Genomic DNA, 24,249 nt, shown 5'->3' with positions numbered 1-24,249 from the left:
ATTTTAAACGTTAAAGTGTCACATAAATAAGCAGGCACAGAATTAAAATAATAATTTGACAGGTGACAGAGCAGTTTTCTTAATTTCTTATTAACTTATACTATTACAATAGCACCTTCTTCAGTATAATCTGGAATGTCACCCACGAAAGGCAAATAGGTAAATGGCCATTACAGTGAAGAAAATGGGGAAACAGCTCAGTTTAGCTATTACTTCCTCCTAGAAATCTTTTCTAAATCCTATGGCTTAAATGCTTCTATGTGCACTACAGAACCTAAAAGGTTATTAGCATCTTAAAGGCAGCCCCGTGTTTCAGTCACTGTTATACAACCCAAACCCTGTATCAGTGCCTGGTATACAGCAGGGTACTTAATAAATATTAGCTGAATAAATGAATAAGTTATAAAGTTGAAAAACAATACACTCAATAAAAGGGATTACTTATAGCCTACATTCCCAAAGAAGTCTACTTGTAAATAATGAAGATTTAAGACAACCATTAGTAATATACACATTTTTCCTCCTAATTTCTTAATGACTGTAATCCCAAGTTTTAGGAGGGGAGAAATACGCCCGACATCAATCTTATGGATATTGATAACCCAAAATTCAGATGCACCTCCACTGCTAAGTAGAGTAAGAAAATTCAGCCTCTCACAAGCGTCTTTCCCTTAGCTCTGTGAAAAAAGCCACAGAGAAGTCAAGGCAATTGGTAATGTTTGACTGCATTATACAAATATTTTATTCTTCTGATGTAAGGCTTCTGAGAAATTCTATTTGTTTTTTAGCAGCAATATCATTAATAATAGCTATATACTGGCTGTGTGCAGTGGCTCATGCCTGTAATCTCAGCACTTTCGGAGGCTGAGGCTGGTGAATCACTTGAGCCCAGGAGTTCGAGACCAGCCTAGATAACATGGCGAAACACCATCTGTACAAAAATATAAAAATTAGCCAGGCATAGTGGTACATGCCTATAGTCCCAGCTACTCAGGTAGCTGAGGCAGGAGGATCCCTTGATCCCAGGAGGTTGAGGCTGCAGTGAGCCATGATTGTGCCAGTGCACTCCAGCCTGGGTGACATAGCAAGACCCTATCTAAAAGAGAAAAAAAAAAAAGAATAGCTATGTAAAATCAATGAAAATTTTGGCTGGGTGCAGTGGCTCACATCTGTAATCCGAGCACTTTGGGAGGCTGAGGGAGGCAGAATACCTGAGGTCAGGAGTTTGAGACCAGCCTGGCCAACATGGTGAAACCCTCATGTTTCACTACTAAAATATTCTCTACTAAAAATACAAAAATTAGCCGGGTGTGATGACATACACCTGTAATCCCAGCTACTTGGGAGGCTGAGGCATAACAATCACTTGAACCCAGGAGATGGGAGTTGCAGTGAGCCTAGATTGTGGGACTGCACTTCAGCCTGGGTGATACAGTGAGACTCTGTCTCAAATCAATCAAATCAAAATTTTTAATATTAAAACAACCATAAATTGTTTACATATAGGCTACTGCCAATCCTCATTCCCCAGGCATCTAAACTTAGTTTTAGTACCAAAAGATTAGAACAGTTTTTTCAATGTTTATAATATCTTTTCAAACTGGTTCTTGTTGGTAAAAGTAGTAATGAGCATTTCACCTAAAACACTAGGAGTCTCTAAGATGACAAAGCCTTCTACTTAAGAACAAATACTACAATACTATTAAACATAAGTCACTAATATGTCAATAACGTACTAAATTAGACTCAGCTAGGTTGAATTAGTTAATGGTAAGTATATCTTTCTAAAGGGAGAGACAGTCAGACTGTGACGCCAGTTCCCTTCTTAGGTTTAATTTAACGTACCCCAGTTGTTTGGGAACTTTTTTCCTTGGCTTCTTCTCCTTTTCCCCTTCCTCTTTCCGCTTCCGCTTCTTCATCTCAATATCATCTTCTTTTATTTTGGGGACCTGCAAAATGATAAAAGAATGATCATTTATGTAAGTAACAATGCTTTACTCTTTGATGTTAGCAATCCAGCATCAGCAGTGGTTTTTCTCAAATGTCAGTGTGCATTACAATCGTTTGTTATAACTGCAGATCCTTGGGGTTCAAGAGCACTCTCACCTCCGGTTTCGATTCAGTTATCTGAGTTAGAACCTTATAATTTGCATTTTAAACAAGCATTCTGGTGATTCTGGTGTAAGTAAGTCTTTGGGCCACACTTCAAGAAACACTTATCCAAGGACACTATATCTTTCCCAAAGACAATGTATACAAATTCTATAGATTTTGTTAAAAATGACATCTTAGGAAAGGTAACAGCTATTAATATTAACCTATCCGAGAAATATAACCTTCTCCCAGAAACAGTAAATTATTAGCCCACATTTGTAGAGAGAAGTTTTTATAAGAAAATATAATTCTATGATGTAAATACCAATTTTCCAATATCTACATAATTTAATTTTAAAGCATGTAATTATATATTCATGACACAATGGTTTGTATTTTACTTTTCCTTACATTCACACGTGTGACACAAGTAACATTAAAAAAAATCCTATTAATTGAACATTCTCAGTACTGTTGCAATGTTTGATAAACTCACCTTGGGTGGCTTGTGCTTTTGGTTGTCTGTAATATCATCTTCTTCAGTATCTGAAGCTTGGCGAAACTGTAGAGTGCCAGTGTTGATATAAAAGCCTCCATATTTTGTTGTTAGAGAAGCGGGAACTAATTCATCATACTAGATTAAAAAACAAAAAAGTTTCCGCTATATCCTGTTGTCTTTAACTCTATAAATGTCAAAGAAATTCATCCACCATGGCAGCATCTCCCTTAAATCCTAACTGCAACACAGACTGCAATAAGGATGTTTGTAAAATAAATTTAGAAAAGGTTACTATCTGAAATAAAAATTAGTTCTGATAATTTGGTGTAAGAAAAAAACTTCTGAAATAATAAAGTATATTCTAAATATATCACCTGCTAAGAAAAATTTAAGGATCACTGCTACTATTCCTTTTTCTTCCTTCCCACTGCTACTATTCTTAATGACAAATGGTTCTGATGAGAAATCAAGTTTAAAAAGATGACCAAGTGTCCAGATAAGGAGTAAATTTCATTTCCTACCATAAGGAGATTTTATAAAGAATAACAAAACTGGCTGGGTGCGGTGGCTCACGCCTATAATCCCAGTTGGGAGGCTGAGGCGGGTGGATCACCTGGGGTCAGGAGTTCGAGACCAGCCTGGCCAACATGGTGAAATCCTGTCTCGACTGAAAATACCAAAAATTAGCTGGGCGTAGTAAGCCCAGCGACTCAGGAGGCTGAGACAGGAGAATCCCTTGAACCCAGGTGGTGGAGGTTGCAGTGAGCCAAGATTGCGTCATTGCACAAGAGTGAAACTCGGTCTAAAAAAACAAAAAACAGCAACAACATTCTGTTTAACAGAAACTATTTTTTCTGTCTTAGCCGTATGCTTTTAAGTGGAGAAAACTTTAAAAACATTTAATTTAGGCCGGGCATGGTGGCTCACGCCTATAATCTCAGCACTTTGGGAGGCCAAGGCAGGTGGATCATGAGGTCAGGAGTTCAAGACCAGCCTGGCCAACATAGTGAAACCCCATCTCTACTAAAAATACACACACAAAAAATTAGCCGGGCGTGGTGGGGTGGGTGCCTATAGTCCCAGCTACTTGGGAGGCTGAGGCAGGAGAATCGCTTGAACCTGGGAGGTGGAGGGTGCAGTGAGCCAAGATCATACCACTGCACTCCAGACTGGGTGACACAGCGAGACTCTGTCTCAAAAGAAAGAGAAAAAGAAAGAAAAATAGCAAATATATTTTAGAAAAAGAATAGCACATATTTTAAAAGAATTGAATAGCATAGAAAAACAACTGCCCAGTTCAGAAAGCACATACTTGAGGACCTAGAATGAGGAGGTACTTTGCTTGGAGCAAGGAACTCAATTTGTTTAAATCACACTTATGTTCCCAAAGGCTAGATCTCAAGGTTTATCATTACCTCACCTGATAAAGATGGCTAAAAAGCAAACACTAAGTGAAGGACAACTTAACCAAATGAAGGTGTTCAAAGTAGGAAAGAAAAAAGGAACTTATCTGATTGTAGAAAGATATCTGTTACCTGGGATCTCTAGACCTCTACTTCCGAGGTTCTTCACATCATCTAACTAGTCTTTAAGAAAGTCAGATTTTTAGGGAAACTTCATTGCCATGGGCAAGGAATATACATATCCTATTAGTTACTGTAAGAATATAAGGCTAAGTACAAAAGTTGTAATTTTAACCTGTATCTTTTTCAATTATATGGAGAATGGAAAAATGAAGAGGTTCCAGTTTAATCACACTGAATTAAAAAGAAATAAAATGATTGAAGAAAGGTAAAAGAAAAAAACTACTTTCTTATCGTTCTACTTGATACACTACTAGAAAGATCTACTACAAACATCTACACTATTATAAAGATCTTACAGAAAAGGGGCAGTACCATCTGCAAATAAGTGATATGAGGGGTGAGGGATTAAATGTGAAAAGACAGTAATAATTTCGAAAACTAACTGTGATAAGATAAAAACACCTGTACTCTTTGCCTACATTGTTTTGTACAATGCTTTATAATTTTCAATACTTCTTCATATAAATTATTTCATTTGGTCCTCATGATACCCTTGTGAGGTAAGAAAGGCAAATATTACTCCCACTTTAAAGATGAAAGCCAGGTAAGCACCTTACCAAAGCAATTCTATACATATGTTTATGGCAAAGTCAGTGGCTGCCTCCAACCCATCTAATTTATTGTAAAATAAATTTAGAAAAGGTTACTATCTGAAATAAAAATTAGTTCTGATAATTTGGTGTAAGAAAAAAACTTCTGAAATAATAAAGTAAATTCTAAATATATCACCTGCTAAGAAAAATTTAAGGATCACTGCTACTATTCCTTTTTCTTCCAAGCAGCTTCACGTGGGAGTGAAACATGTTCATCTCCAGGTATACAGGGCAATTCTGATGTGCTCAAAGTCTGTTTTCTTATGCAGTATTCTGCTGAGCTTTTCCTATCCGAACACTCTTCAGAGGAATACACTCTTTGTGAATATTTAGTTCAGTCATTTCAGTAGAATGTGTTAAGAGGTAACACACTGAACTTAAGAATCAAAAGGCCTGGATTTAGATTCTTTGCCTATGACTAGCTACTGTGACCCAGGGAAAATCACTTAACATCAAATTTGGAGGGTTATAAAACAGGGACAATATTACTTCACAAAGTTCTAGTGAAATTTAAAAGAGACTATCTAAATAAAAGTGTGTGAATCATGCCTGGTATCATTATTTATTAATAATAAACAAAACATTTTCTTTCAGCTCTTTTACAGTTTGGTAGCATAAATATGAGACTAAAAATAATCTTCAAAAGCATTTATTTTCAGGTATTTATTTTTAGTAATTCGTGCATGATTCAGAATATATTAAACAATATGCCAACACTGAAAGCTTACTGGCAATACAATAAATGAAAAGAACAAGAATCATTTGGTTCGACCATAGTTGTTTTATGTCTGAATTATCTCATTAAAAAAAAACAAATAATATGTCAAGGGCAAAGACACTAAGTTATTTTGTTAAGTCACGCAACCTGCATTTCAGTTCAATTTCTTCTTATAAAACAGGAACCTACCTTGTTCAGAAACTAGTTGTATGACTAAGCAATTCGTATCTACAAAATTTATCCTGACTTATTAAAACAGAAGTTTTCCACTTTTCTTCACCACAGCCCAAGTGGAAAATACATTACCCATCAAAATCTAGCACACACATACACACACAATAAAAACTGTATAGTCTACCAATGACGTACTAGTTCCTATTCTATTTGATTTCATTTTCTTTAAAAATACCAGTCATGCCCTTTAAGTTGATATATAAGCCAATTATGGGTTACAAAAGTCAGCATGAAAATATCCTAAATGCTATAAAAGGAGATATTAAAAATGCTATTTATAAAAGTTACATACTATATGATTTTCTCTATAAGACATTCTGGAAAAGGTAGAACTCTGAAGACAGTTAAGACCAGTAGGTGCCAGTGATTAGGAGGGAAGGAGGAATGAATAGGCAGAGCACAGAAGATTTTAAGGGAAGCAAAACTACACTTCTGTGTGATACTACCATGGTAGATACGTGTCATTATTCATTTGTCCAAACCCACAAAGTGTACAACCCCAAGAATGAACCCTAATGTGAACTATGGACTTCGGTGACAATGATGTGTCACAATGTCTGGGCTCATCAACTCTAACAAATGTCCTACTGTGGTACAGCATGCTGAGCGGGGGAAGGCAGTGTGTGCATGCGGGCAAGGTGTTCATGGAAACTCTGTACTTTCTGCTCAGTTTTGCTGTGACTCTAAAACTGCTCTAAGAAAAGAAAGTTTATTAATTTAAAAAAGCTATTTATGTAAGTGTGAGTACATGTGATGCCCATTTATATATGGCTAAGTTACTTCTTGGGTTATTTAGAATTCAAAATGTACACATAACACTTCTACTGATGCTTTGCACTTGCTTCATGTTTCTTCAGCTAGTTTACATTCATTACCTTATTTAAGGCTCAGTAATTCTGTGGGGTAAGCAAGTCATAGCAGAGAAAACCGGGTGGTGCTAAAAGACTTGCTCCTGGCTACACAGCAAATTAGAAACTGAATTAAGATTACAATCTAGACTTCTGCACCAAGTTACAAATCGAGGTCAAGACTCCGGAAAACATTCCATGCCCTGATTTATTGGTTGACAACCTTTTTTGTAAGACGAAGGCCATTTTACTCCAAAGGGCACTGGCAATATGTTACTTCTACAGACCAGACTGCCTAGTATGGTAAATAAGTTTATGTCGGGACAGCAGAATTTTTTTTTTGTTTTTTTTGAGACGGAGTCTCACTCTGTTGCCCAGGCTGGAGTACAGTGGCGCGATCTCGGCTCACTGCAAGCTCCGCCTCCCGGGTTCAAGCCATTCTCCTGCCTCAGCCTCCCGAGTAGCTGGGACTACAGGCGCCCGCCACCACGCCCGGCTAATTTTTTGTATTTTTAGTAGAGATGGGATTTCACTGTGTTAGCCAGGATGGTCTCGATCTCCTGACCTCGTGATCTGCCGGCCTCTGCCTCCCAAAGTGCTGGGATTACAGGCGTGAGCCACCGCACCCGGCCGTGACAGCAGAATTAACTTAGGAGTTTGACAGAATATCCAATGTGCCTCATGTTGAAGTCCTTACTGTCACTCTCCTACCTTTATATGTTCTGTCATCAACTTTATAAGCAAGCACTGTAGCAACAGGAAAAAAGACATAATATATAATTTGTGGGTAGTGTAATAGTCACCTAGTGTCACCTTCTGTATATGCTTAATTACTGCACATTGCAGAGGATATCATAATCCCAGGGATTAGATTACTCTAGTACATGGACAAGAATGGAAGAACATACACCTTCTCTACTGCAAAACATGACTTGTCTTTCATTTGTTATGTGATCAAGGGGCTGCTACAGTCCTTAAATGCTCTCCTAAATTCCTTTTCCTTTTGTAAGAAAAAGGGGATTCCAGGGGAAAAGCTGTAGGGCTCAATCAAAACAGACTGGTGATAAAGACTGGCACTCAATGTACCATCCTGGTAATAAGGCATGGCAGCAATAAAGAATTGAACAGATATTAGAGATGTCTGCCAGATTAATTTCAACCCAGTAGCACCAATCTTTAAGATTGCATGGTTCTTATCTTGGAAGTCATTTTGAAACACACCTGCCCAAGTTTGGGAATATCAATAAAAATCACGATGCAAATAAATGCCCTTTGACCAATAAATTCCACTGCTAGAAATTTAACCTACCCATATAAATGCACCCTCTAAATACCCTTCATACACAGTTACTTCAGTAGATAAATGCACCCAGATTTCATACACAGTTACTTCAGTAGATAAATGCACCCAGATGCTCCGTTATTTGTATGCACATAAAACCAGAAACAGTTTAGATGTACATCAAATGGGTGTAGATAAATACATTATGTAATTTAGGTATATTCACTAGCAGCCATTAAAAGGATTATATCCATGTACTAATATATAAGTATCACTGAAATTTCTGGACAACTACACAAGAAGATTTTTAGTATTTACCTCTCAGGACTGGGGCCTTTGGGTACTTTACCTTCTACATAACCACCTTGTACTTTATTGTTGTTTTACCATAAGCATATGTTAATCTTATAATTAAAAAAAAAGAACACTAAAATCTCTGTAGGCCTCACCTCCAGAAATCCTAATTCCTTAAGTCTGAGTTAAGACAAGTGTACTAATATTCTCACCCTTGATTGAGAACCACTAGCTTAACTTAATGTTTTTCAGCATTTGATTTTCCTTTTTCTCTTTTTTTTTAAGAAACTTATTTTTGTTCTGTTTGAGCAAGGGGTGAGGATGGAGTCAACGCTATAATTAGACTTCTGAAAATGAGCAACTACTAGAGAATCCCAAGAGATTCTTTCAGGAACTGGAAAGGAGCAGAGCATATGAAAATAAAGACATTGTACAGAGTCAGCAAACCATGAGATGCACTGGCCAAATCCAGCCCACCGGCTTGTTTTCAAACAGCTTGCAAGCTAGAAATGGATTTTACATTTTAAAAATTATTGGAAAAAAAATCAAAAGAAATTAATATTTCACAACACACGAAAAATTATATGAAATTTAAATTTCACAGACCATAGATAAAGTTTCATTGTAACGCAGCCATGCTAATTCTTTAGGTATTATCTATGGCTGCTCTCATGCTACAATGGCAAACTTGTGTAGTTGTGACAGAAACCACAGGGTTCACAAAGTCTAAAATACTATGTGGCCTTTTACAGAAAAAAGTTTGATAAAACTTGGTCTATTTTAACAATGTAATAACAATTCACCACAGACAAACCCAAAATTACAAAATTCTCAGTCTGCAGTATTCTTTAAAAAAAAAAAAAAGGGTAAAGAAATCTTTAAGTAGTGAACATGGCTTTAAAAAGCACAAATAAAAACATTCACTGCACTATTTAAGTTACTTTACCCTTGACTTCTACTATCCCATACAAACAATGAATTTGCTGCTATATTAAAGATACATTACTCACAGCCTCTGAGTTATCAATAAATGGATCTGTCTCATCATAGCCAAAGCCTATATCAATTAAATCTTGTAGCCGATCCTTCCGGTGTTTACGGGGTTTCCCACCCTGCAAAGAACAGATACATTAGACTGATTTGGTACTCATGCTGTTTCCATAAAGTTTAAAAAGACCTGTTAGAAGAATTCAAATAATTTTTGCAGATAGTCCCCCTCTCCAGGAGGTTTAAGTCCTCCCACACCTTGAATGCAAATTGCACTTAGTGACTTGTTCCAAAGAGTATAAAAAGGGGAGGGACAGAGTAACTTCATAGTAGAAAACCTGGCCAACACTACCTCTCTAGGTGACTACAGTCAACGTCAACAGGGATACATCATACTGACTGCATGTATCCATGATCTGTGATAAAAACTGCACTTCGTCACCTCTGTGATCTTCTCAGTAGCCTATAACCCCAGCCTAACCCTGAGAAAACCATCAGACAAAACCAAATTCATGGACATTCTATGAAATGAGTGACCACCTTCTTCAAAGTTGTCAAAAATTATCAAAAACAAGGAAAATGTGAAAAACTGCCACAGTATAGATGAACCTAAGGAGAAATAATGACTAAGTTTAATATGGTAACCTGGCTGATTCAGAAACTGAAAAAAGACACTAGGAGAAAACTAGTAAAATCCAAATAAAATGTGGAGTTGAATGGTAGTGTGCCAATGCTGGCTCCTTAGCTGTAACAAACATACAAATTGCAAGATGTCAACAACATTGCAAGATGTCAACAACAGGGGACAGTGGGTGAAGGCTGTATGGGAACTCTCTGTATTGTCTTTGCAACTTTCCTGTAAACTTAAAATTATGTTTTAAATTATTATTATTATTTTTTTAAAGATAGGGTCTTGCTCTATTGCCCAGGCTGCAGTGCAGTGGCATGATCATGGCTCACTGCATGTTTGTTTTTTGAGATAGGGTCTCACTCTGTCACCCAGGCTGGAGTGCAGTGGCATGATCATGGCTTCACTGCAGCCTCAACCTCCCGGGCTCAAGTGAACCTCCTGCCTCAGCCTCGTAAGTGGGACTACAGGTGCATGCCTCAAAGCCCGGCTAATTTTTAAATATTTTTGTAGAGACAGGGCCTCCCTATGTTGCCCAGGCTGTTCTTGAACTTCTGGGCTCAAGCAATCCTGCTGCCTCAGCCTCCCAAAGTGCTGGGATTATAGGTGTGAGCCACTGGGTCCAGCCTAAAAGTATTTGTTTTAATAATTAGAATTATACACACAGACATACAAGAAAATGAAAAATGAGTGCATGTAAAAACTGAAATGAGTACGTGAAATCTGAGTTAAGATCTATTATCTAGTTGACTGTATTATGCCAATGTCAATTTCCTAGTTTAGATAACTTCAGATATGTAAGATATTACTACTGGGGGAAGCTGGGTTCAACAGGCACATGGGATTTCTCTGTAGTATATTTGCAACTTTTTGTGAGTCTACAGTAGTTCTTCTTTTTTTTTTTTTGATACAGGGTCTGGGCCGGACGCAGTGCCTCATGCCAGTAATCCCAGCACTTTGGGAGGTCGAGGCAGGCGGATCACCTGAGGCCAGGAGTTCGAGACCAGCCTGGCCAAAATGACGGGAGGCCCATCTATACTAAAAATACAAAAATTAGTTGGGTGTGGTGGCATGCGTCTGTAGTCTCAGCTACTTGGGTGGCTGAGGCTCAAGAATCACTTGAACTGGGGAGGCGGACGTTGCAGTGAGCCGAGATGGTACCACTGCACTTCAGCCTGGACAACAAAGCGAGACTCTGTCTCCAAAAGAAAAAAAATGACACAAGGTCTGGCTCTGTAGCCCAGACTAGAGTGCCATGGTATGGTTATAGCTCACCTTGGAACACCTAGGCTCAAGCGATCCTCCCACCTCACACTCCCAAGTAGCCAGGACTACAGACACAAGCTATGGTACCCATCTTAAATTTTCTAAGCATCTTCTAAGACTTCCCTGTCCCATGATATTTTTTTTGGTAGGGGATGGGGGAAGCAGATGCTTAGAAAGAGAAGAGAAGGCCAGGTGCAGTAACTCATACCTGTAATTTCAGCACTTTGGGAGGCCAAGGCAGGAGGATTGCGAGAGCCCAGGAGTTTGAGACTAGCCTGGGCAACACAGTGAGACCTGTCTCAACAAATTTTTTTTTTTTAATTAGCCAGGCATGGTGGCATGTTGCCTGTGGTCCTTGCTACTTGAGAGGCTGAGGCAGGAGGAACCCAGGAGGTTGAGGCTACAGTGAGCCAAGTTCATGCCACTGCACTCCAACCTGGGTGACAGAGCGAGACCCTATCTCAAAAAACAAAAGCAAAAACAAAACCAAGAAAACAATTAGTGCAAAAGATTCTGCAAACCAACATGCCACCACTAAGCCACAGTGAGCCTTGTAGAGAGCATGAGATGCAAGATGTAAATCTCTAGTCATCTCATTTGGTTTCAGCTCTCAAACCGCATACCTCTCAATGAAAAGTGTGATTCTAATGGTTAAAGATGAGTAAGTTGTATGTAACATGGCCCTTAAATAAAAGCAAATTGCTTTGCTTTGTTTCAATGCAAAGATACAGTGATCTGTTCCAGTGCTTGAGGGAAAAAAGTTATGCCAGACTTACGAAAGACATCTCCAACATGGTGTCATCACTTTACAAGTAACTTGCAAAGGCAATTCTGACTAGCTGCTATGTCTATATTACATAGTGATGCTAAAAAAACCTAACTCCTACATAAGCTGTGACTCCATTGTACACTTTTCAGTGGACAAAACAACATGATTACTATACCATCATCACCAAGAAAGGTACTGTGGTGCGAAATGTAAGTAATGGTTCCCATATTTTTAGATTTTACAAGTTAGGTAAAAGTTTCAAGTACAATTCTAGGAACCAACATCTTGCTAAATAGGGCTACTGAGGGTATAATCCCAGAACAATGACAATCCTTCTCAAGAAATGCCAGTTGGCAACCTTAAACAACATGCATACATGCATACACACACACACACACACACACACAGATGTAATAAATATATACATATACACATATATACATACAACATACCCATGTGCTTAGATGCAAAATACATAATAGATTGTCCTTTATTTTTCCCATTTTGGCAGGTCTGCAGACTGAGACCTTTATATTATGTTATAGAATTATGGTGAGAATCAGCATTCAGGAAAAGGAAAGAGAGAGGTTGGTAGGAGGTAGTCTATTGAGAAGAAGTTACACACAAGCAGTTAAGGACATGAGGGATGATTTCACCCTAAACTGAGAGAGAGAGGAAGAGATCTAATAAATATATAAAAATCCACAGACAAAACTAATGAAGAGGACTAGTCCTGCCACATACGAAATATTTTTAAAGTTATGGGAGTTAAAATAGATGAGGTAGGAATATAAGAATAAAAAGATTAATGAACAGCATTGTTCAGAAACCTAACCTAGTATATAAGAATTAAAGATGAAAAAGGCAGCATTACAACTCAATGGAAAATGATCAATAAATGAGATTAAAGTAAGATATCAATTTCCTCTATCAAATTATAGAGGAATTTAATTTGAATTTGAAAATTCAAATTTTGAAAAGATTTTAAATTCTGAAAAGATGGAGAATAGGACTGCTCAAACACTGCTGATAAAGAATGTACCAATAAAACCCTTTTGGAAAGCAATCTGAAAGCATCTGCCATGAGACTTTGCAATACTCTTACATTTTCTTCTTCTGCCTCTTCCATGATTTCCAAATTTCCTATGAAGTATTACTGTTATAATAGAAATATGCTAAAATAATTTTTAAAACTCTTCATCTTATTTGACCCAATAATTCTACATAGCTTATTTCGAACCATTACTTAGAGTCAAAAATATCTGTTAAGAACTTATGCCATAGAAAGCAATATGTTAAGATATCAGAATTTAAGTATGAAATGTCCTTGTCTTCAAGTAACTTAAAACAAGATGATCTATTAAACAAACTTACTGAGCACTTACCATGTGCCAGCCTTCATGGATTTTATAGTTATACACAAGCAGTTAAGTACAGAGAGGGGAAGAGAAAGATTAAACAAATGACTACAGTAATTATAAATGGTAGAAAGGAAAAAGGTTGAAAGGAGACCTTTTCAACAGAGGACCTCATCAAGGTTTCTTCCTAAGATATTCATACCCAGACAAGGACAAGTGGAAGGCATCAGCACAAGGAAGTAACTGACAAGATCAGTGTTTAACAAAATCACTCTGACTACTAGTATGGGGAATTAACACAGTTGGGGAATAAAACAGCTAGAAAGAAAAAAAATGCTCAGATTTGCAAGAAATTCACAAGTTACTGGGGCATAAAATATATATTTAAATACCAAGCTACCATTCACTGAATGCTAACTTTGCATCAGATCCTATACTAAGTACAATCATCTATTATTTCACATTTGACAAATGGGGAAAACGAAGGCTAGGAAAGGACAAGTAACTTATCTAAGGTCACACAGAAAATAGGTGAGCCAATCTTCAAACTCATGACTGCCTAACTCCAACAGGCCATTCTTTTAAAAATTCTATATGAGAAGTTATAGAACCTATAGGGTCATTTTTTTAGTTGAAAACACCTTAAACTCTAATAAAGCAAAACTGAAATTAGTGTTTCCACTGTCATTTGTCTCTAAATTAGCTTCTCCCACTTGACATTCCAATTTTGTTCATCCTTACTATTTTTTCTGCCTTAAAACCATTATTGGCTAAAATTAAGAGTGATGACATCAAATGCTAACATGGACATGGAGCAATTGTTCTCTGATTCATCACTAGCAGGAATGCAAAATGATGTGGCTACTTTGGAAAATGGTTTGGTAGTTTTTTGTTTTTTTTTTTTCCTTTAAAGCTCTCTCTCAGCGAATCAGGTAGTTTCTTATTAAGCATACAGTTACCATTGGACCTAACAACCCCACTGTTACATGCACCCAAGAGAAATGAAAATGTGTATTCACACACAGACTTGCACTCTCACGTTTATAGCAACTTGACTCATGGCAGCCAAAAACTGGAAACAACCCAACGGTCATCATCTGGTGGACGGATAAACAACGGTGGAACATAATCCACAGTAGGAATACAGTGGATTACTGCTCGGCAATAAGAAGGGACACAGGCAATACATGGAGGAATTTCAAAAGTACTATGCTAAGTCAAAGTACCCAGACGCAGAAGACATGAGATTCCATTTACAGGAAACCCTAGAAAAGGCCAACAAACAAACATCAGAAAAGCCTAGAGTCACAGGAACCAGATCAGAGGATGCCAGAGGCTAAGTTTGGAGGGACAGATCTGTCTGTAAAGGGAATTTTCTGGGGTGATGCAATTGTTCCGTATCATGATTGTAGTAGTGGTTACAGGATTGCACGCATCTGTTAAAATCCATCAAACTGTACGCTTAAAACGGATGAATTATATTTATTTAAATTATACCTCAATAATGCTATTTCAAAAGTCTCTCATAATTTCTGCTTCCAAGTGTCTCTCCCCATAAATCTTTGTTGCCATGATTAACCATATCTACAGCTTCCTTTCCATTCTAACTGTCAATACTAGAATGCTGGCCTTTGTTTTTCACCTAAACATAATGAATGTCTTAATTAGCCTCTCTTCCCTCAAATTTTTTTTGAGACGGAGTCTCACTCTGTTGCCGCTCAGGCTGGAGTGCAGTGGTATGATCTCAGGTTACTGCAACCTCTGCCTCCCAGGTTCAAGTGATTCTCCTGCCTCAGCCTCCCGAGTAGCTGGGACTGCAGGTGCGCACTACCACACCCAGCTAATTTTTGTATTTTTAGTAGAGGCAGGGTTTCACCATGTTGGCCAGGCTGGTCTCGAACCCCTGACCTCAGGTGATCTGCTCGCCTTGGCCTCCTAAAGTGCTGGGATTACAGATGTGAGCCACCGCGCCTGGCCTCTTTCCTCAAATTTATCCTGCATAATTACCACCTAATTAATATTTGGAAAATACCCTATTATTTCCCCTGCTCAAAATGCTTCAAAAGCACTCCACCTATAAGAATTGAAAACCCTTAACATGGCACCAGTTAAATGCCTTGTACATGTTGACTCAAACCACCTTTCCAACTTTTTTCTTACAATTTTCCAACATGAACACTTCATCCATTCAAACTGTCTACCAACTCTCCCCCAAACACACCTTCTTACTGTTCCTTGTGCTTTCTCCCCATCTGGGATAGTCTCCTGCTACTCACTTAATCCTCCCAGCTTTCTCATATCAGCCTACATTTTCAATCTTTTCTCCAGGATGCTTTCTCATTAAAATCACAATGACGATCTTTTTTGATCTCCTAACATATTTTTTGTCTAGGCATAAATAGCTGCCTATGAGATTTACCTGGGAAAACTAAACAAACAGGTTCTGTTGTAATGGGCACAATCAGATATATGTAGAAGTGCAAACAATTTATGGGTAATTAGAGATTTAGGAACATCTATGTCTAGCCAAAGTGACTAGTTTGTTGCCACCAGAAACCATAATAGTTCTGAGTCCATAATCTAATCTAAGTAGTAAAATGATTAGTATTGTTAAATAAGTATAAATCTTATCAAGGGGAGCAAATAAAAGACTTAAAGCTTTATTTGATCATAATAGTATTAATCTGACCAAAATGCTTCCCCTCAAAATGATCTTACAGGTATAAGGTCTTCACAAAGCATATCAATTATAAAAGTGTAAATTATACAAACTATCACATATCCATTCAATGTTAATAGCCATTGAAGAATAATGTGGTAGGCTGGGCGAGGTGGCTCATGCCTATAATCCCAGCACTTTGGGAGGCTGAAGCAGGTTGATCGCTTGAGCCCAGGAGTTCAAGACCAGCCTGGGAAACATGGTGAAATCCTGTTTTTCAAAAAAAAAAAAAAAAAAAAAAAAGCTGGGCATGGTGATGCGTGCCTGTAGTCCCAGCTACTTGGGAGGCTGAGGTGGGAGGATCGCTTGAGCCCAGAAGGTCAAGGCTGCAGTGAGCTATGATCACATCACGGCACTCCAGTCTGGGTGATGAAGACCTTGTCTCCAAAATAAATAAATAAATTTTAAAAAATTGTGATAGAGAGTATTTATTAATATAGAAGGTAACAAGAAGAGTTTCCTAAATGTTATGTACAGCTCAGGCTATTCACGAAAAGGTGCTATCAATGTTCACTAAGCATTTGAAAAGGTCCTCAACTTAACTGGTTATTATGGAGACAATAGCTAAATAACAAGATATTGTTTCTTACACTATCATATGAACAGGATATTCTCATCTATGAAAAACAAAACATAGCAATATATATCTATAGATATGTATAAAATGCTCAAAGAATACACAACAAGCAGATAACCATGGTCATTACGACAGAGAAGGGATAGAACTGGAAGCAGTGGTGCAGGAAGACTTTGATGTAATATGTATTATTTGAATTTGTTTTTAATAAAAGGAACATATTCATGTATTGCTCAGGTGATCTAACTTTTTTTTTAAGAGATGGGGTCTTGCTATGTTGCCCAGGCTGGTCTTGAACTCCTAGGCTCAAGACATTTATCTTCTCTGCCTCAGCCTCCCAAGTAGCTGGGATCACAGGTGTGAGCCACCACACTAGGCTCTTAAAAAAATTTTTTTATAGTGTAAGAAAGTACAAACGTAATTGCACATGGATTTTTAAAACTCCTGAAAGGATACACTTTCAACTATCAAACTATTCACAGTGGTTCTGCCTGGCAGTGGACTTACAGGTGATTTGCTGATTTTTATTTTGATCTTTTCATTTATCTGTATTTATATATCCTCTTACAGTGAACAGTAACAAAAAAAAATCTTTGAAATATGTGACTGCCCACATACACATAGCTCTCTGGGGCAAGAAACTCACAGTGTCTCTAAGGAGTGACCTGGTTAGCTGGGAGTCAGGGGTAGGAAGGAGATTTACTTTCTATCATTAGCTTTTGTATCTTCCGAGTTTTATTAAGGACATGTACTACCCACTCAATAAATGTTATTTTATTAGGTTTGGCCCACCAAATGTTCACTACCAAAGTTTTGAACTCCTCCTCATTTGGCTCTACTTTCCAGTCCCACTGTGGGGAAAGAGTTTTGGAAAACGTGTATTTGACACACCCAAACCTGAGTAGCTCTTTCTTAACTCACTCTCCAACAACCAGAGTTCCAAAGGCATTGCTCCACTTATAAATAGATTTTTGCCAACTATAAGGCACAATCTCCAGTTCCCTCCTTCATCACAGAGGCCATTAGAGTAGTTTTCTAGGTACAGTTTGCTTTTCCTCACTTGTGGCCTTCCTGGAAAACTTCTAACCCTGACCTGCCTCCTGCCTTACCACCCCATATCTATTCTCCACCCTCCAGTTCCCTAACTGTGCTAAAATTCAATAATGTGTAAATTGTATAAGCTGGAACCAAACTTTTGGCAGTTGCCAGAAAGGTACATATAAATTAATTCACAAATATTAAAATTTAACCTAAAGAAACTCAAGTTACATTGGCAAAGGATTATACTATCTTCCCTACTAGAAAGACTTCTGTTGAATTACTCTCTTTTTCAGTACCCTTACTGCAACAGAATCAAAGTCTTACTTGATAAATTCTCTGAACCTCTGCAGTTGATATTACACAGTTTATAAATTAAGTAGATCTTATAAAAATCAAAACTTATTTTCCAAACAACAAGAACAAAAAAAAACCCTTGAATTTTGCTATATCTAAAGTGAAGAACTTTCTTCTTATCTACTGTTCTAGGTACTAGCTCCCTGTGACTCAGAAGAATATTCCTTACTGAGTCATTAGTACTTGCTTAACCTGACAATCAGTGTTTTAGGCCAATGCAGCCTCATTACAGTGTAACACTCAACTGGAAAACAAACAAACAAGATGTTCTTAGTACTAGACCCCCTGACCCCAAATTGCCTCCAGCTAATAGTAAACCAAACTAAAAACCAACATTCATTGATAACCTCTAGTAGACAGAGCAAGAATGACCCTGATTACTAAAAAACACACCAGTCCTATAAGTGAGAAGAAAACATCCTGTCGTCACAAGACTCCCTACTTGTCCCAGCCCTGCCACCTTATCTCTTTACATCTGTGCCCATTTCTTCAACCTACCAATAGAAAGGAGCTGAGTTTCAAGGCAGTGGAAATACAGCCAAGAGCTGACTACACAGCACAAAAATAGTATACACAACTTCTATAATCACCACATATGGATACCAGTCCTTCCTCCTAAATACCCTAAAACTGCTGATTCTCAATTGTTCCTAAGGCATTAAAGAAGGCTGAAGAGAATTTATTCAATTCAAAGAGGCCAAGGAATTAAAAGGGCATGTCACAGCAAGTGATCAGAATGGGTAACTGCAATAAAGAAATTATTATTTGAGCTAGGAATTCCTCCTTGCCCTTTAAGGCCCTCTCCCCTCCCCCAGTTTGCTTTAAAAGATTATTTTATGTTTTTATTGTACATGTAATATCATACTATTATTGGTCTACAAAACCCTAAATCCACTGGTATTTGTGTTTTGCAAGTAGAATTTACTTTGTGGTGGTGTCAACAAGTTTGCCCAAAGCTCTACATCGAGATGATCCTTAGGGACCAGACCTCACATAAGGCCAAAACAAACAGGTTAACCAGCCTATGAAGTTCCCAAGGAAGCTCTAACCCCTCAGCAAGTGTGGATGATCAACTAAAATAATATGAGTAATTGATATGATTCTTACAACTCCCAGAAACAGTACACAAATGCTTTCAAAACTAACTACTTGGTATCAGTTTCACATTTGAAGACAGTTTAAAACAATAATCTATAATTATTTTAAGACAAAATTATATTTCTTTCCACTTAGCCGAGTAGTATTTACTGTGAAGATGTTACTCATCAGAAATTAGTTATTCCAAGATACTGCCATTCTTTAAAACATTATCTGGAAAGACTCACTTTTACAAGTTATACAAAAGAAAATCAAGACTTTTTTTGGGGGGGGGAGCTGGATTCTCGCTCTTGTCGCCAGGCTGGAGTACAACGGCGTGATTTCGGCTCACTGCAATCTCTGCCTCCTGGGTTCAAGGGATTCTCCTGCCTCAGTCTCCCGAATATCTGGAATTATAGGTACCCACCACCATGCCCAGCTAATTTTTGTATTTTTAGTAGAGATAGAAAGGTTTCACCATGTTGGCCAGGCTGGCTGCACTCCTGACCTCAGGTGATCTGCCCACCTCAGCCTCCCAAAGTGCTGGGATTACAGGCACGGGCCGCTTCACCTAGCTGATTTTATTATTCTTATTCTTATTAGAGACAGGGTCTCAAGAAAATCAAGAGTATTTAGAAGAATAATTTGTCTTTGAGTGAAAACAGTGTTATTCCATTTGGTCAACTGTTTTATTTATAAGACTGCTCAGAATTACTTTTCTACTATCAAATCTACCCTTACCCTTCTTTTTAAAAGAAGTATGAAACTACTAGGGCTCTGAGAGCCCAAAACCACATAGAACTAAGTGTGAAAGATAGTATTCAAGGTCTATATAGCACAGTAAGCAGATTTTAAAGTTATAATGTGATTTCATGATTATTAATAAATGCCTGGCAGAATATATGTCTTCCTATTCAGAGAGTCATTCAGATTCAAAGAGTCTTAACTGAGCCCCTGCTAGGCACAAGGTATTGTGTTAGGTGCTTTCATTTAGATTAGTGAATTTATATCCAATTCTAGGACAGTATGATCTTTCAGAACGGCTGGGGTAATGGAGTGAGAAAAAAATCACTAAGAGAAATCTTCCAACAATTATAGGTTATCCTATGTCCTAGAAGGCTAAGATAACAAGTCTATACCCATCAAATTGAAGCATCCTACTCCTGAGTATAGAGTATAGGTGGCCTCATAAAAGGCATATATTACCTACAGACTATCTAAAAACTGAATTGGAAACCAAGATGTTTTGCCTAAACATTTTGGAGCCTTAACTGGGAATAAAGAGAGGCATGGGAGCCTCTTTTACCTGTATCCTGCCTCCTTTCTAACCATCAAGACGAATCTGGAGCCTATACGGTTGTAGAAATGTCAAAACTTGGACTTAGCTATTTAAAAAGATTTATGTACAACAACCAATTTAGTATAATCTAGGTAAAAATAGGTACTTAATAGTCATATTGACCTTTTCCCAAAAAACCATTTAGTAATTGATGCTGAATATGAACTGTCACATTACCTGAGCATAAGAACAACATAACAGGAAACAGAACATGGCCATAAAAATAGGACACAATGGAGGGGGGAACCCCATAAATTCAATGCAGGGTGCTCTTTTTACAATTTTATACTCCCTGTAATTTCTGATATCACTGATCTTCAACTGCTGCAACACCTGCCCCAAACACCAATAAAGATCATTGTAGTTTAAGAGAGAGATTTTGTGATAGCCTAGAGCTCTAGGCATATAACGCCCAGCAGGACAATGTATCTTCTCTCAGGTCACTTTTGGCCTGATGATTTTCTTAAAAGATTCCAAATAATTATTTAAAAAAAAAAATATATATATATATATATATATATATTTAGGCTGGGTACAGTGGCTCATATCTGTAAACTCAGCACTTTGGGAGGCTGAGGCAGGTGGATTGCTTAGGCTCATGAGTTTAAGACCAGCCTAGGCAACACAACAAGACCCTGTCTCTACCAAATAAATATATATATACATATACACACACACACAATACTCATAGATATAACACTTGGGCATGCTTTTTGGTTAATATACATACAATCTCTAATTAGAATGGAAATAAGACAGTAAGTCAGCAAAATAAAAATCCAGAGAAGAAATATAGCCCATTAATTTAGACTATAACAAGAGTAATATTTTATCACTGTAAACAAAATAACAAGGCTTAAATATATCTAAGTCAATTGAAACTCAATTTCACGCATCAAACAACTTCTTCAGAACGCTGATCTTTCTATGCCAGATACTATCCTAGGGTTGACTAAGAAGACTTAATGCTAACTTTAAGGTAGTGCGTCATATACTGAATCACTTTACTTATAGGATTATATATAGGAATTTTTCCATTTGCAAAGGGCAATTCTAAAATCCTTGATTTTGTAACCCACAGCAAAATAGACACTCTAGGCTGGGCGCAGTGGCTCACGCCTGTAATCCCAACATTTTGGGAGGCCAAGGCGGTGGATTACCTAAGATCAGGAGTTCGAGACCAGCCTGACCAACATGGTGAAACCCTATCTCTACTAAATACAAAAAATTAGCTGGGCATGGTGGTGCATGCCTGCAGTCCCAGCTACTTGGGAGGTTGAGGCAGGAGAACTGCTGGAACCTGGGAAGTGGAGGTTGCAGTGAGCCGAGATAGCGCCATTGCACTCCAGCCTGGGCAACAAGAGTGAAACTCTGCCTCAAAAAAAAAAAAAAAAAAAAAAAGACACTCTAATATAGTGATGGAGGGAGTAGAACTGGTAATTTAGTAATATATACTAAAATTATAAATGCATAAATCTTCCGACCTGAATCGTCTGATTCTAGGAATCTCTCCTAGAGATAAACTTGAAATTGTGTAAAATGCCATTTTACAGACTAATTTACTGCAGCACTATTAATAAGGGCAAATTTTTGAAAGCAACCTAAATCATTTGGGGACTGGTTACAGTGTGATAGTTCCATGCAATGAAACAGCATGCAGCCTTAAAAAAAAGGGAGAGAAAGCACTTTGTCCTGATATGACCCCCCCAAATATACTAAGATACAGTAAATAAAAAGCAAAGAGCTTAAGTGTGTACAATTCTATAATATGTATAAAAAGGGGGTGGGAAAGGAATAGATGTGTATGTATAGAGATGTATCTCTAGTACCACAGGAGTGTTACTTGCCTAGGAAGTGGGATTCCATGGGTGGGCAATACAATAAAAGGAAGATTTTTAATTTTTGAATTTTGAGCCACATAAGTGTACTAGTTGGTTAAAACATTAAGTGTAACCAATGTATAACTTGTATAAAAAACACAGTATTTTAGGATTTATACATGCTAGGATTTTAGGATTTATACATCCTATAGGATTTTACAATTTATACATCATGATACAATATAGTCTCAAAAGATTACACTGTAATTAAATACTACAATGCTATTCCTTCTATTTAAACACCCACCAGTCTATCCCTAAATTTATTATTATATAGTCACAGAATAGAGAACAATAGGGTCTCGGAAAAATCTGAACCTCTCAATTTATAGATAGGAAAACTGTACCCTTGGCCAGGCCCAATGGCTCACGCCTGTAATCCCAGCTCTTTGGGAGGCCAAGGTGGACAGATCAGTTGAGGTCAGGAGTTCGAGACCAGCCGGGCCAACATGGTGAAACCATCTCTACTAAAAATACAAAAATTAGCCAGGCATGGTGGTGCATGCCTGTAATCCCAGCTACTCAGGTGGCTGAGGCAGAAGAATTGCTTGAACCCAGGAGGTGGAGGTTACAGTGAGCCAAGATCACACCACTGCACTCCAGCCTGAGTGACAGAGACTCTGTCTTAGAAAAAAAGAGAGAAAAAGAAAACTGTGGCCCAAAGCTAAAAAACCTCACCAAAAGGACACAATTAGCAGATGGCAAAGTATGGCCTAGGACCTGATTCCAATTCCAATCTATTCTCATCTACTTCTTCTACCTTCAAATGGTTTCTTAATTACCACAAGGAGCCAGCACATATGGGTCAAGATCCCTGTTGTATCTTGAGGGTACAAGGCCCTCAATGACAAGGCCAATGTGAGCTGATATCCTTTCTCCTGTGGGATACTTTTCAATGCTCACAGAGGAATCAGAGGGGTAAGGTGTTGCTTCTCAACTGGGTTATGTTTTAGTAAAGTGCCAAGAGTACTCAAAGCCATAGTGTAAATGTGGGGTGAGGAGTGGGGCTTTCTACAAATTTAGTAATACTAGAAAATTTGAGAAAAATGTTAAGCAACTTAATCAGGTAATTAAAAATTGTTTTTGTATTCAAACAAACACCACTATATTGTGGCACTGAATATAAAATGTACATGAATATTTAGCATAAACCGGACACTTTCAAAGAAGTCTCATGCTGGTTCTGAGTCTGACGCAATGAGCTTAGAAGTACACACATTCACTCTCAAACTCTTAGGAGGCAGGAAGGTTTCAGAACTACTATACCAAAGGAATTAAAATAGCATTCTCGATGGTGGCGGAAAGGGAACAGAGTTAGAGCTACACAGACCTGGACCTGTAGCCTACTCTTGCCACTGTGTGACACTGTATCAGCTACTTAATCTTGAACTCAGAGCCTCAGTTTCCTCATCTGTAAAATATGGTCAATATTACTTAGCTTGTGGTTTTGTTACAAAGATTGGAGATAATATATGTAAAGCAAACCGCCCAGACTCTAGAAAGACTATAATAAATGATGGCTACTTGGCAGGATGGATCACTTGAGGTCAGGAGTTCACGACCAGCCTGGCCAACATGGTGAAACCCCGTCTCTACCAAAAATACAAAAAATTAGCTGGGTGTGGTGTTGCCCCTGTAGTCACAGCTACTTGGGAGGCTGAGGCATGAGAAAGGCTTGAACCTGGGAGGCGGAGGTTGCAGTGAGCCAACACTGCACCACGGCACTCCAACCTGGGCACCAGAGCGAGACCCTGTTTCCAAAATAAATAAATAAAAATAAAAATGAATGATGGCTACTTTAACTATCACAAGCCTGTTGGAATCTTTATTTGACTGTCTAACCATTCATTTGGTTTCCATTGGTGAGAACAAAGTAAGGCAGGCAACGGATATTTATAGGCCCTCCCAACCAGCCACAGAAAGCAAACAGGTCAATAGGATAAAATTACCTAAGTGATCAGTTTATTATACTCACATATTTCATTTCAAACTTCTTAGCCAACATTTCCACCTCTTGCCTCTCCTGATGTTCATCATTAAATGGGTCTTCTGTGTGAATGAGCTTCTTCTGATTCAAGGTGAATGGGAAAAGAAAGAGAAGTATCC

General features: G+C 37.9%; 1 protein-coding gene across 8 annotated transcripts in view; it reads right to left on the bottom strand.

The window, feature by feature from the left end:
- UBN2 (ubinuclein 2) overlaps positions 1 to 24,249 on the bottom strand; it is a 99,192-nt gene that overhangs the window by 69,213 nt on the left and 5,730 nt on the right. For 4 of the 8 annotated variants that reach the window (XM_011516003.3, NM_173569.4, XM_011516002.4 and 1 more), the window contains exons 2-5: positions 24,119 to 24,211; positions 9,159 to 9,260; positions 2,591 to 2,728; positions 1,846 to 1,949 (exon numbers count right to left, since the gene is read on the bottom strand). In XM_011516003.3, the coding sequence (XP_011514305.1) occupies positions 1,846 to 1,949; positions 2,591 to 2,728; positions 9,159 to 9,260; positions 24,119 to 24,211 (437 nt within the window). The remainder of the gene's footprint in view (positions 1 to 1,845; positions 1,950 to 2,590; positions 2,729 to 9,158; positions 9,261 to 24,118; positions 24,212 to 24,249) is intronic. The other 4 variants (XM_005250249.5, XM_047420101.1, XM_047420102.1 and 1 more) reach the window with 2 other exon arrangements.

Source organism: Homo sapiens, chromosome 7, assembly GCF_000001405.40.
Source record: "Homo sapiens chromosome 7, GRCh38.p14 Primary Assembly".
Lineage (NCBI taxonomy): Eukaryota > Metazoa > Chordata > Mammalia > Primates > Hominidae > Homo > Homo sapiens.
The sequence above is the reverse complement of the archived record's forward strand: the minus strand, read 5'-3'. Positions and strand labels throughout refer to the sequence as shown.